General features: G+C 33.3%; 1 protein-coding gene across 31 annotated transcripts in view; it reads right to left on the minus strand.

Annotated features, from left to right (window-relative positions):
* Positions 1-16,055, minus strand: part of RFX3 (regulatory factor X3) — a 307,705-nt gene that overhangs the window by 125,667 nt on the left and 165,983 nt on the right. For all 31 annotated transcript variants that reach the window (XM_047423701.1, XM_047423699.1, NM_001282116.2 and 28 more), the window contains one exon: positions 2,704-2,801. In XM_047423701.1, the coding sequence (XP_047279657.1) occupies positions 2,704-2,801 (98 nt within the window). The remainder of the gene's footprint in view (positions 1-2,703; positions 2,802-16,055) is intronic.

Here is a 16,055-nt window from a genome sequence, read left to right on the forward strand (position 1 = left end):
TGCACTTAAATGGGTCCTATAGTTTTAAAGAACCTACCTTACAAATGCTGTTTTTCTAAGGTTTTATGAATGAATGAATTCATTCAACTCATGTTTACCTATTATGTGGAAGACCCTAATATCAGCAGTAAAGCAGTTTAAAAATGCACAAGACAATATGCAGAATTTAGAATCATTAAGTAGTAGCAAAAACTGTAAACAAATAATGAGTGCATAATTTTACAGCAATAACTAATGTTCATTGAGTGTGTCCTACTCTTTAGATGATACATAAAGCACTTTTGATAAACTGAGGTTACAGTTTGAGTATCCTATATCCAAAATGCTTGGAACAAGCAGTGTTTCGAATTTTTTATTTTTTCACATTTTGAAATATTTGCATTATATACTTAACCAGTTGGGCATCCTTAAGCTGAAAATCTAAAATCTGAAATGCATGATGAGTACTTCCCTTGAGCATTATGTTGGTGCTCAAAAAGTTTCAGATTTGGGAGTATTTCGGATTTCAGATTTTCGGCTCAACTGGTACTTCATTTCATACATAACAGACTAATCTCTCCACCTTAGCTGGGACCAGTACAAAATGAGAAATAACTGTGATAGGTACTATACAATTAACTCTCTCAATACCCATTTCAACTGCCCTTTTCCCTTGTCACATTCTACCACAACAGACACGAAAGCTACAAACTCCCATTCTCACATTCCCCTGCAGGTGCCCATTACTACTTGTCACAGACAAAGATGAAATGACAACTGACAACTGGGTGACCTCTAGCAGTGTCTACAAAGCCATTTATTTTCCCTGAGAGCATAAAGGTCGAAGTGGCAGGCGTCTTTTTCATTTGGTATAAATGCCAACAGTAGTTTAAGTTTATGGTGAAGATTCCAAAATCATGCTCCAGGGGGCCCTGGACCTATACAACAAATAAGTAGAGTGAAAAACATTCACAGTGTGTCTAAAATATGTAAAGAGGTATAGATTTAATACGGTAACAGAAATTTACTGACTTTATTATGTGCCAATCACCTAAGCAAATGTAAATAAAACAAAATGCCAAGTTCGCATTCAGGGAGAGTTCTTCCTACTATGGGAAACATAAACAAGCATTCACAGTACAATGCTGTAAGTAAAAGTCAGGGGATAATGTTGCCCTTTATAAGGGAAGGATAAGCTAACTGCAGAGAAGGAGAGTCAGGGTCCATGTCACAAAGAAGGGAGTGACATGTCTGTCTATAAAGATCACACTAGACTGGGTTTAGGGAGACTGGGAGGAAAGGAGAGAAGACAGAGAATGCTATTTCAGCAGAGAAAACGGCATGTCCAAAAACATAGAAGTATGAAAGGGGAATATTTGGGGAAAAATGCACAAAATTGGTTATGCCTAGAAGGTAGAAAATAAGGCGGAGGTAGGAATGCGGAGAATGCCAGTGTGGAAAGTTAGATTTTATTTTATAGGTAATGGAGGTAGTGTTAGGCAGTAGTGATGTGGGTAGATTCAGTGACCAAATATAGTAAGAAAAGAAAGAAGCCAGAGTCAATGAAAAGCTTCCAGTTTTGTATCATCTATTATTGTACCAGGCTCTGTATTAGGTACTTTAAATATATTTCCTTGTATCCTTGCAAAAACCCAATAAGAGTGAAATTATTCTCCTTCCCCTTCCATGGTAACAATAACAAAAAGCTCAGAATATTTAAGTACATTGGTCACAATTATAAAACGAATACAAAATTAACCAGAATTCTGTTTTTAGTTATAATAATAATAGATAACAACAACTGAACTCACATGTCATGCACACTTCTGGTGTTGAGTTATTACAGTAGTGAATAAAAACAAAAAAAGTCCTGCCTCCATGGAACTTATAGGTTGACATCACGGAAATAAATGAAATCACTCAAGGAAAGAGTAGATGTAGTAAGAATAAAGACAGCAGAGGTTATCATCCTGGAGTATACCAACACTGATGGGAGGTGGGCAGAAGAGTCAGTGAGAGAACCTGAATTCATTTTAAGTTAACCGAGGAAGCCAACAGGTTGCAAACAAAAAACCCAATTTGGAAACAATCCTTGCGACTTACAATAATTCTTAGTTCCTTTATTTATAACAACATTCTGCATCTTATTGCAAAGTAGCCAAGAAGCCCAAATAAAATAAATTTACAAATTTATATTATTGTTGATGCAAAAGAGATAAGCTGGTTTCGGGCAGGGGGCAGGTTTAGATAGGAAAGTAACATTTATTATCAGACATTTTTATGTGGAATATCTCATTCTGAAAATGTTCAAAAATCCCAAACTCCTAATATACTAGTTTTATATTCATTTACATGCAAATACATCACATAAAAATTGACCTCGTATAATAAAACAAAAAGCATAGAGTTTAGAAGCTATCATTAAAATACAGATATCACTAACAAGGGGTATATACATTTTTTCTCTACATAGGAAGAACTATTAAAGGGCATAAGACTTTAAATAATTTAAAATATCCTATGGGGTTAAGTGAAAGGAAAATGAGTGCATATTCTTAATAAATATAGACAAAAGCTCTAAACATCAGCTTAATTTCAATAACTGTTCTAGTAGAAAATTACTTTGAAAACAAGGAAACAATCTGGGAATAGTGGGAGGTGTTCAAAAGTACATTATTTTTCTCTGAGTGGGGGAATTAAAAAGACTTCCACATATAAACTTACATTGCTCCATTGGTATAGACAGTATCGCTTCCTTCCACATACTGCACCTGAGCGGGATAGACATGTTGTACCTGCTGCACAGTCTGTACCTGCTGTACCTGAAAAACAAGTATTAGGACCTTGGTAAGAGGTAGGTATGATAGGAAGAATACAGAGCATTAGATCTATCTCAAAGGTTTATCCGGTATTATTGATAAATTTGAGAAAGACTGATAAGAAAAACTATTAGATTCATGTCATAGTTTCAAGATAAGCATGTGTTGATTCCAGAGCAACTGCAACATTTATGCTGAATAAATTCTGTAACTTCCCTGCAGGTATAAATGTATAGACACATTTCAACTGTTCAGGTTTAAAATTATGAAAGTTCTTGGCCAGGCACGGTGGCTTACTCCTGTAATCCTAGCACTCTAGGAGGCCAAAGTGGGCAGATTGCCTGAGCTCAGGAGTTCAAGACCAGCCTGGGCAACACGGTGAAACCCCGTCTTTACTAAAATACAAAAAGTAAGCTGGGTGTGGCGGCATGCGCCTGTAGTCCCAGTTACTTGGGAGGCTGAGGCAGGAGAATTGCTTGAACCTGGGAGGCAGAGGTTGCAGTGAGCCAAGATTGTGCCACTGCGCTCCAGCCTGGGTGACAGAGTGAGATTCTGTCTCAAAAAAAAAAAAGAAAGTTCTTATTTTGGTGACTTATGAAATTCTATTCCAATTTAATTTTAAAAAGCTGATTTTTTTAAATTAAGAACAATTCATAATAGAAAATTTCAAACACTCAAATATGTAAAAAATCCTGTAATAACCCTATGTACTTGTCATCCAAGATAAATTATCTTTTCTGTTTATTCCCTTCACAGGATTATTTAAAAGTAATTCCAGAAGGCCGGGTGCGGTGGCTCACCCCTGTAATCCCAGCACTTTGGGAAGTGAAGGCAGCTGGATCACCTGAGGTCAGGAGTTCAAGACCAGTCTCCTGACCAACATGATGAAACCCCGTCTCTACTAAAAATATAAAATTAGCCAGGCATGGTGGTGCATGCCTGTAATTCTAGCTGCTTGGGAGGCTGAGACAGGAGAATCACTTGAATCCAGGAGGCAGAGGTTGCAGCGAGCCGAGACTGTGCCATTGCACTCCAGCCTGGGCAACAAGATCAAAACTCTGTCTCAAAAAAACAAAGGAATTCCAGAGATTATATCATTTCACTGGTAAATATTTTCATTTGTATTTCTAAGAGATAGGAATTGTTTTTAGCTGGAACACAATAATATCATTTATGAAACATTAACTATTCCTTAACATCATCTAAAACTCAGTCATTGTTAAAATTTCCCTGATGAGTCCAATCACTATAGTATTGGTTTTTTCAAAGTAAGATCCAAACATGGTCTACATAATAATGCATTTGGGTTGATATTTTCTTTCTCTTTGAATCTCCAAGTTCCCTTATCCTTTTTATTTCCCGCCTATTACTTATTCAAGAAACTGGGTCATTTATCTTGGAGAATTTCTGGCATCTAGACTGATAAACAGCATCCTGAAATGTCATTTAATAAGTTCCTCTATTTCATGTATGCTGTATAAACTGGTATATGTTGGGGCTTGAACAAGTTCAATTTTTTAAAAGTTGTGTACTTAGTATTGTACCATATCAGTTGACATATAACAACTGGCTGTCCCTCTGCAATGTTAAGTTTCACTAGTGGAGTCATATGTTGCCACCTGGGTCTATCTATTAATAGTATCCTGCTCCCTATCCACGTTTCGCCTGAGGATATTAGTAGCCATTGATGATCATTTCCTACAGATATTATGTTAAATAATAAAGGTTGTAAACTTGCGGTAGTCTAATTCTATTATTCTTTCTTCATTTATTAGCAAAATCCTTCTATAAAGAATAAATTCCTCTCATTAATTATTTAGTTACTTTGAAATAAAGTTTTTATGGGAAAAATAGGATAAGTACATGATTCTTTTTATATTACAGTACTGAAAATGACTTTATCCCCCAGTACCCTCCAGAGGTGATCGGTGTGGTTTTTTATTTTGTTTTTGTTTGTATCCTTACGATTCTCAGCTTTTGAACATATTTAATGATTTTCAATCCTAGCAATCTTTTTTTCTTGCTAAAATTGTCCCATTGTTGGCCAATGGTAGCCTCTTCTAACTAGTTCCTATGACATAACCCCACCATCTTTCTTAACTCTGCTACTTTCTGTTATAACAAGATGCTTCAGGCTTATGTCATATTTCCTACTCAAGATCTGGAATCAGACATTTCTTCAAAAAAGCCCTGGCTCTTCTTAGTGGAAAATGGAATTCAAAGACTACAATTGGGACCCATTAATGCTTGCTGCTAGGATGCTATTCATATTTCTAGGTCTTTTCATTGAACCAAGCTAGAAATACACATATTTTTTGAAGGATAAAAATACATATCATAAATTCATAGTAATTTTTTCATTGAATTTTAAATATATACAAATTAAATATATCTTGGATATATTTGTCCATCTTTGCTCTTATGGTACAAATTTTGGTTACTGGAGATTTTAACATGATTACTTATTTGCTTTATCATGAAATTTTATGGTTTCAAAATAAAAATATCATATTACTAATATTTGATTATCAAATATTGTTTCCTTCAATTTTCTGCCCTTAAGATATATGCCCCTAGAGATGTGTAATTTGTATTACTATAAAGTCACTTAAAATAAGTCATCAGCTTGATACGCAGTTAAATTCATGTATTTAATTTTCTTTTTAATTTTAGGATTTGCTGTATTTAATTTTGATTTAATTTTGTTTTATGATTACATGAAATATCTATGTGGTTCCAAAGCCAAAACTATAAAACAGGCAATATATTTGGACAGATGACCCTCCTTTCACCCCTGCTGCTTCTATCTTACTTACTGCCCCCACACCCCCAACAGGTAACCATTTTCACTATGTTTAGGTTTATCCTTTCATTGCCTTTCTTTTTCTCTATATCTTTTTAGACAAACGTGCAAATGTATATGAATGTGTATAGAAGTGCCCACGTGTGAATACATACACACCTCATTCTAAGAAAAAACAAAGCATTTTATACACACTGTTCTGAACCTTGCTTCTTAAACTTAACAATATAGAATAAATTTGAAGATCATTCAAGTATGAAATATTATGACATAAAATAAAAAAGGAATATATTCCTTTTGACTTGGAATTATGAAAAATTTTCCTCACTACAACATTCAGAAGTGATAAAAATACTTTTAAATAAAATTGTAAACCTGTTTGCAAGGATAAAAATATAATAAGCAAAACCGAAGACAAATGAGCATCCAAAACTTTGAGAAAGATTGATAATCCTATTAAAAAAATGTGTAGAAAATCTAGATAACCTTGGGTTTGGTGATGCCTTTTTAGACATAACACCAAAGGTGTAATTCATGGAACAAATAATTCACAAGCTGGATTTCATTAAATGGAAAATTTCTACTTTGAAAGACACTGTGAAGAAAATGAAAAGACAAGCCACAAACTGGGGAAGAATATTTGCAATACTGATCTGATTAAGGATTGTTATCCAAAATTTACAAAGAGCTCTTAAAACTCAACAATAAGAAAATAAACAAGCTGATTTTAAAAGGGCCAAAGACCTTAATACAGATGACAAATAAGGATATGCAAATATTCTCCCATCATAAGATACCAAAATCTAAAATGCTGAATTAGAATGGCCAAAATCCAGAACACTGATAATACTAAATGCTAGCAGGGATGTGAGAAATATAGAAACTCTCATTCATTGTTGGGAGGGATGGAAAATGGTAGACACTTGGGAAGGCACGTTGGTAGTTTCTAACAACACTAAACATAATCTAGTCATATGATCCAGTAATCATGTTCCCTGGTGTTTACCCAAGGAGTTGTAAACTTACGTATACACAAAAACAGGCAAACACGTTTATAACAACTTTATTCATAATTGCTAGAACTTGGTAACAACCAAGATGTCCTTCAGAAGGTGGACGGAAGAATAAACTGCACTACACATCAAAACAATGAAATATTGTTTTCATTAATTCCAATAATGGAATATTATTCTGCAGTGAAAAGAAATGAACTACCAAGCCATGAAATGACATGAGAGAACTTGAATGCGTATGACCAAGTGAAAGAAGGTAATCTGAAAAGGTTACATACTGTAGGATTTCAACTATCTGACATTCTGGAAAAGGTCAAATGACCGAGACAGTAAAAAGATCAGTGGCTGCCAGCCACTGGGGGAAAGGAGAGATGAACAGGCAGGGCCCATAGGATTTGTAGAACAGTGAAACTACTCTGCATGATACTGTAATGGTGGATACATGTCATTATACATTTGTTCAAAACCATAGAATGCACAACACCGAGAATGAACTCTAATATAAATTTTAGACTTTGGGTGATAATGATGTGTCAATGTAGGTTCATCAGTTATAACAAATGTACCTCTCTGGTGGGGAATGTTTATAATGGAAGAGGCTATTCATGTGTGAAGCGAGGGGTTTTATGGAAATCTCTGTACCTTCCTCTTAATTTTGCAGTAATACTAAAGGTGCTTTAGAAAAATGAAGTGTTCTCAAGAAACTAAAATCTTTTTTTTAAAGTGTGTATGCACATATATATGTAAATATACAAACATATACTAGTTTAATTAAATAATATAAAAATGAATAGGATAAAATAAAATCATGCCAATATTTATAGACTAGAAATGATGAAACCTCCCTAGAAACATTCAAGAGCCAGATGCCATAAGAGCAAGTCAGATTTGAACTAACAACAACAACAACAACAACAAAGACAGTTTAGGACAACTAACAACATAAACAAAGTTCAAAATCTAGACATATAATTGAATAAATAGTTTGCAACGTACTTAATAAGGTATAGTATCCCACATATATAAATACTCCCTATGAATCAATAAAAAAAGAACTAAAACATGTTAGAACATAGGTGGGTGGGTCACAAAATTAAAATTATAGATGAACGATAAATGTAAATGTTAAAAGCTCAACATTAAACATAATCAGATAACTTCAAATGAAAAGAAAACTACTTTTTACTCTCTAGAACTATAAAAATTACCAAAGGGATTATATTAATTAAAGACAATATTTTAAGAAAACGAGCATGCTTACATATAGTTAGTAGTAATATAAATAGGTTCTTTAGGCAATTTAAAGGTAATTTATAAGCAGGCATATCATTTGACATTTTTGTGAATTTATTCAACAAGAAAACTCAATATCTGAAGAGTTGCTGTACAAAAAAATTTCAAAAAATACGTAATTTATAAGAAAAAGGAAAACTTTAATGATGATGAAATCTGACATTATGAAGTGAATCTTAGTTCAACCATTCCATAGAATACATGGCTGATATAAAAGAATAAAGTAAGATATATATGTATTTTAGGCAAGATTGCCAATACATATTACTAAGTTTAAAAAGTATGTTGTGGAACAATACTTATTCTTACAGTATGATTAGCTTTGTGTATACAAAAATAAATTTATGAATATATAAACATAAACAAAATGTGTGTATGTGTGTGTGCATATATATATACATATCAGCATATATGTTCGTATGTGTATACAAATTCATATAAACAAGAATAGAAGGATATACACCAAACTTCTAAAAATGGTAACTCTGCTGAGTGACATGAAAAGAGGTGAGGGGGTGAAAAAACTATCATCTTTTATTCTGCATATTTATATTGCTCTTAGATTTTTTTAAGTGAAAATAAATTAATATATTACATACATATTAAAATCATATTAAACATAAAATCATACTTAAGGTCTTACCACTATGGCTGATCACATCTTAAACTTCTCTGCACCTTACACATTATGCACCTTACACATCATATTAAAACGTATTGAAAGATTATAAGACTTCCACTTCAGGCCATGCTGGAGTAAATACTACGGGAAATGCCCTGCCACATGAAACAAATAGAAAACTTGACAAAATATGTAAAATGATGTTTTCAGTCATGTGACAAAAGGCATCATAAGATGGTGATCCTTAAGAGAATGGACACAAACAAGGTGAATCCTGCCATGATCCTGGGTTCTGACCTAGAACCATTTTCCACATTGCAGAACAGGAACAGAGAAACTAGGACAGAATGATGGTCTCACTGAGATAAGGAAACAAAGATTAGAAATATAAAGACACGTGCACACGTATGTTTATTGCGGCACTATTCACAATAGCAAAGACTTGGAACCAACCCAAATGTCCAACAATGATAGACTGGATTAAGAAAATGTGGCACATATACACCATGGAATACTATGCAGCCATAAAAAATGATGAGTTCACGTCCTTTGTAGGGACATGGATGAAACTGGAAATCATCATTCTCAGCAAACTATCGCAAGGACAAAAAACCAAACACGGCATGTTCTCACTCATAGGTGGGAATTGAACAATGAGAACACATGGACACAGGAAGGGGAACATCACACTCTGGGGACTGTTGTGGGGTAGGGGGAGGGGGGAGGGATAGCATTAGGAGATATACCTAATGCTAAATGACGAGTTAATGGGTGCAGCACACCAGCATGGCACATGTATACATATGTAACTAACCTGCACATTGTGCACATGTACCCTAAAACTTAAAGTATAATAATACTAAAATAAAATAAAATAAAGAAATGGGGAGGCTTAATGGCAGCTGAAATGTGGGAGCAGAGTATTAAAGAAGGCATTAGAGAAAACGACAGCAACAGACCCAAGAGAATCTCTCATCATTTTCTGAACTGCACAAGTGTAAGGTGCAGAGATGGTTTAAGATGTGATTACCCATAGTGGTAAGACTGTAGTGAACACCTAGGGCATTCTGTAGATATACCAGAAGGAGTAAAGCCTTAGTAGTAGGGCTGTACTAGCTCTAGAGTAAAGACAACTTTAGGCTCATCCTAATGAAGCTAAAAAACAAGCCTTGACAATATCTGAATTACAAGCAGTGTAACTGACTACCCAAAACAAAATGTAATATGTTTAAAGGAAGACAGCAAAATCCAGACTTACAATACCATAAGAATCATAATGCCTAGCATATAATAAATAACAAAATTAGACATATAAAGAAGCAGGGAAGTGTGACCTGTAATCAGGAGAAAAATCAATCAATAGAAACAGACCTTGAAATGATAGAAATGAACTAGCAGGCAGAAACTTTAAAACAGCTATTATGAATAGACTTATGATTTAAGCGAAAACATGACCGTGCTGAGAAAAAAAGAAAGAAGCTACAAAGAAGAACCAAGTACTATTTGTAGAGTAGGAAAATACAATATGTAAAATTAAAATTTCACTGGTTAGGATTAAAAGCAGACAATACAATGAAAATGTATACCACTTAAAATGAAAGCTTAGCAATAAAATCTACCTACCATGAAGAACAGAGGCAAAAAAGAAATGATGAGAAATAAAGTATCAATGAACTAGGGGACAGTATTTAGTAGTCTCAGACAGAGAAGTAACAGAAAACATACTGAATAAAGAGTGGTAGATTTCTTTTTCCAAATTTGATTGAAATGATAAACACGAACAGAAGAACATCATCAATGTACAGACAAAGAAGCCAAAGTTGCAGGATCCACTGAGGCCAGAAATTTAAGCCTAGCCAGGGCAACACAGCAAGACCCCATCTCTACCAAAAAACATTTTAAAAAATGAATAAAGAACATTAAACCAAAGTGCATTATAATTAATATGCTAGACCCAGTAATAAAGAGAAAAAAATTAAGCAGACAAAAAAAGATAGATACCAGGCAGCAAATATTAGAATGACTGAAAACTTCTCAGTGAAAAATAATGCAAGTCTAAGACAAAAAAAACAGCTTTAAAGTAGTGACAGAAAAATATTTCAAACTAAATTTCCATAACCAGTGAAATAGCCTTCAAAAATGAAGAGAGGATCCTTTTTCTGACAAACAAAAATACTTCTCCAGCAGACAGCCAATGAAGATAATGACAAAAGAAGTTCTTCAGACTAAAGAAAAAGAATACTAGATGGAAACTGAGATCTACATAAAGAAATGAGAAACATCAGAAATAATAAATTTTTAGGTAAGTTATAGGGATTTTTTGTTTTCTTATCTTTTACTTTTCTGTAAAAAGTTATAGGGATTTTTTGTTTTCTTATCTTTTACTTTTCTGACTATGTAGAGCAAAAATAATAACAATGCCTAGTGGGGCTTACAACATATGTAGAAGTGAAATGCAGGAATGACAAAAATAGCACAAAGGACAGAAGAGGGAATTGAAAATACTCTTTTATAATATTCATATATATTTAGTGGTAAATTATTGGTTGAACACAGACTGATAAATACATATTTTTTAAATCTTTGAATACTAAAGAAAAAAATAATGAAGATAGAGTGTCATACTAGAAAACACTGAATAAATCTAATAGAAAGCAAAAATAAAGGAAATAAAAGAACAGATGGGACAAATAAAAAACAAATAACAAGACACTAGAATTAAATGCAACCATATCAATAATTACCTGGAATCTACAAGATTCATATCCTAATTGTCAGAGTGGGTAAAAATGGGTGAGATCCAACTATATGCTATCCACCAAAACACACTTTAAATATACAGAAACAGGTTAAAAATAAAAGGATATAAAGAGATAAATCTTGCAAATGCCAATTATAAGAAAAAATGGACTGGCTATATTAATATCAGTCAAAGTAGACTTCAGGACAAAGAATATTACCAGAGAAAAAGAGAAATATTTCATTAAGAAAAATATCAAGAAATAATAAATCCTACATGTCTTTGCTCCTAAAGACAGAGTTTCAGAAGACATGAAGCAAAAACTGATATAACGGAAAGAAGAAAATTTAAAAATCCAGTTACAATTGGAGACTTCAGCATTCTTTTTTCCATAGTTGATACGCAAAAAAGACAGAAAATCATTGAGAATACAGAAATTATCAATCAACTTAACCAAAATGACTTTCACGTCATAATCTATGTAACAACAGCAGAACAGGCATGCTCTGATGCACATGAACATGCATCATGAAAGTTCAGGAATAAATGAGGAATAAAACAAGTCCCAACAAATTTAAAAGTATTAAAACAATACAGAGCATGCTCTCTGACCAAAAACATTAAATTCGAAATCGAGGACAAAAAGATATCTTAAAAAGTCCAACATATTTGTAAAACGAACAATATACTTATTAATATAATCTATGGTTTATATCATGAAGAAATCACAAGGGAAATTAGACAATGTATTGAATTGAATGTTACTGAAAATATATCATAATTTTCAGAGTGCAGCCAGAGCCTCGCATAGAGGGAAATTTATAACTTTAAATATATATATTAGGGGGAAAAAAATCTAAGGCAATAACCTAAGTTTCCACTTTGTGTTAAAAATTGAAGAATATATCAAATCTAGAATAAGTGGAAGGAAGGAAGGAAGGAAGGAAGGAAGGAAGGAAGGAAGGAAAGAAGGAAAGAAGTTAATAAAAGAAATAAAAATATGAAAACAGAAAAAAATAATTGAAACAAGAAACAGCAAGGTAGACTTATCAAAGAGAAAAAGAAGACACAAATTACAAATTGCAAGGATGAAAGGGGAAACGTCACTATACATCTTTAAAAAGGTAATAATAAAGACAACGTAGTGTCAATAAATTCAACAACTAAGATGAAATGGAAAAAGTTTATAAAAGGCCTAAATGACCAAAACTGGCCCCAAAACACCCAATCCCAAATCATATATGTAAACTTGAATTTATTCCCGCAGAGGAAACTCCAGGCCCTGATGGTTTCACTGGTAAATTGTAGGAAACATGTCAAGAAGAAAAAAATTGCCAATCTAACACAAATGTTTTAAAAAACAGAGAACAACAGAACCTCTCCCAACTGTTTTTATGAGGCTAGCCTAAAAGTGAGACCCAAACTAGAAAAGACATTACAAGAAAAGAATACTACAAACTAATGTCTCTCATAAACCTAAATGCAAAAATCTTTAACAAAATATAAGTAGATCTAATCTAATAATATATTTACAGGACAATAAATCATAATCAGGTAGGATTTAACCCAAGAATGCAATGCCAGTTTAATATTTAAAAACCCACAAATACAATCCACCATATTTACAATATAAAAGAAAAAAACATATGATCACCTCAATAAATGCCAGAAAAGCATTTGACAAAACTCAACGTCCATTCATGATTAAACACACACACACATACACACATGCACACACACGCACACACACACACACACACACACACTCAGTAAGCTAAGGATAGAAATTTACTTAACCTGACAAAGCATCTATAGAAAAAAATACAAATATTATATTTAATAGTAGGAGACAGATCTTTGGCACTTTCAAAAATACTCACTTTTTTCATAATATAATGCCTCCGCTTAAATTATTAAGTGCATCCCAATCATATTTTAGATAAAAACAAAATAACCAGGACACAAAATCATTTCATTAATAATATGTAAACCTTGATGGATATTTTCAAACATAGCCTCTCCGCTCCTTTATAATCATCCATTAAAATCTTGTACATTCTTGCTACCTTCTCATCGCTTATATTGTTTTCTCTACATAAATTATCTCATCAACCAATAGAAATCCACTATTTCCTTTGAGGCCTAATTAAAAATTTAGAGTCTCTACTTTTCTAAATTTTTAAACAAAATAATATTTTTATTTTTGCAGTTACAATTACAAGAGAAATTAGAACATATTTTGAATTTAAAGATAATAAAAACACAACATAAAATTTGTGGCACGCAGGAAAGCAGTATTTAAAGAGAATTTTTATTTAATAGCTTATATTACAACCAAATTTCACCGGAGGCTGGGAAGGGAAATGAGGAAGGGAGGATGAAGAGAAGTTGGTTAATGGATACAAAAATACAGTTAGATAAAAGTAGTAAGTTCTAGTATTTGGTAGTATAGTAGGGAAATTGTAGTTAACAATAATTTATTATATATTTCAAAATAGCTAGAAGAATCGTAATGTTCCCAATACCAAGAAAAGATACATGTTTGAGGTGATGGATATCCCAACTACACTGACTGGTTCAGTACATATTGCATATGTGTATCAAAATAACACATGTATCCCCGAAATATGAACAACTATAATATATATTTTAAAAATGAGTTTCTCTAAAAGGTCTTCTGTAACTTATTTTATCCCACAAGAGACTATTTCTTTCATTTTGCTCTCAGGATTTATGAATACACAGGTGGTAGCACATAGCTTAGTACTAATTCAGATTCTCAACTGGTTTTCTTCATGGTGGTCAATACTGTGAGGTGGAAAAATTGGTTAATTTGAAATTAAGAGGTTCTTGTGCTGATACTGGATATTAGGGTCGTCAGTTATTTCTTTAAGCAATGATTTCCTTGTGTATAAAATAAAAATGATATCTAATCTATCAAAAGGGTTACTGTGAGGATCCAAAGCAATTAAGTTTAGATACAAATCATGGTTTAGGTCTGTATGACAATTATAATACATCTTGAATAACTGGTAAAATTATGAAATACTTCATAAACAAGAGTCTTGTCTTTATGTCTGTGAAAATTTCATCTTTAGATCCCATTTGGTTTCAGCCATAAATATGCACAATAAATGTTCATCAAGGGTCCCTTAAAATCATGAGATTCTATAATTAAAGTAGAAATGAAACTGGGAAAATGTCAAGAATCTTGGAAAAGAAATCTGGATAGATGCTGGCTAACTTGTCTAGGATAGCAATATATAAATACGTCTCTTGATCACATGGAGACTTTACAGTACAACGTAAAAATAGGGCATAATTCTTTACACTACCTACCAAGTTAACGAATTGACAAAGTGAATGGAAGACCAAATTAAATAGTGAAAATACTGAATTACAGCATATTTTGGCGGTAACACCATTTTTATTATTATCCAGTGTATCAGTTCATTCTCACACTGCTATGAAAAAATACCTGAGACTGGGTAATTTATAAAGGAAAGAGGTTTAATTAAATCACAGTTCCACAGGGCTTGGGAGGCCTCAGGAAACTTCCAATCATGGCAGAAGGGGAAGCAAACACAAGTCCTTCTTCACATGATGGCAGGAAGAAGAAAGAATGCCAAGCGAAGGGGAAAGCCCCTTATAAAACCATCAGATCTCATGAGAACTCACTCACTAACATGGGAACAGCATGGGGGAAACTGCTCCCATGATTCAATTATCTCCACCCGGTCCCACCCTTGACACATGGGGATTATTACAATTCAAGGTGAGATTTGAGTAGGGACACAGAGCCCACCCATATCATCTGGTATGCATGGTTTTTCTGCCATCCTTTAATCTGGGCCTACGAGACCCTTGAAACGATTTGGTGAAAGTAAGAAATGGAATTGGGCATACCGCTTGCAATTTGAGAAGGGATTTTTTTCAAAGGTAAAAGATAATGGAGGAAGCAAAGAGGGATTAAAAAAGGGCAGACAATGAAAAGAGGAACCAAAAAAGCGAAAGTATCTTATGTATACATACCTCATTCTACCAGTGAGAAGTTAAGAAGTTAAGACCCTCAAGAACCTTTTCTTTACCCTAGTTTTTAGTTTAGAGTTTGTTATTTGTTTTGTTGTTGTTATTGTTGCTGTTTAGGCAGTGAGGCTCTGCCTTTGTTATAATAGTAAAGGTGGATTGGAAAGCCATAGCTATGCTCTCTTCTACCCAAAGTAAAGTCAGTCAGGTCCAGGAAGAGAACTGTGACCACAGAGCCAGTCTATCAGGATGTATACACCCAGACACAGGATGGGAAATGAGAATAAGAGAATTCCAGCCCATCCCTAGCCCTGGCCCAAGTGCACATATAGAGCAGCAACATTTTTTATATTTGTTGGTATGTTCCCAGAGTTCAGCACGGGGAAAACACACTATATTTAATAATTATTCAATAACAAACAATGCCCAGAGAATATTATAAAATTGGTAGAATCTTCTAAATGGGGATGTGTATTTTTTTAAATAATGAAAAAAATGTTTATTTTTTCAAAGTGAACTGATATGATCACTTTTAATACCATTAGTGTATCATTAAAAACCAAAGGTGAAATTTTAAAGTAAAGTTGCATGCTATTTTCTCGTTCTAAAATGATCAAATGTGATTCAAATTGTTCAAATATTAGTTGCTACTATGTTAAACATTAATTTTTGTTCAAATATTTACTAAGTTATCTATTACAAGCTTATTTTCTATTTTAGTTGCCATTATCTTAGTGCAGGAACTATTCAGGTTAGCATT

This window comes from Homo sapiens, chromosome 9 (assembly GCF_000001405.40).
Source record: "Homo sapiens chromosome 9, GRCh38.p14 Primary Assembly".
NCBI classification, from domain to species: Eukaryota; Metazoa; Chordata; class Mammalia; order Primates; family Hominidae; genus Homo; species Homo sapiens.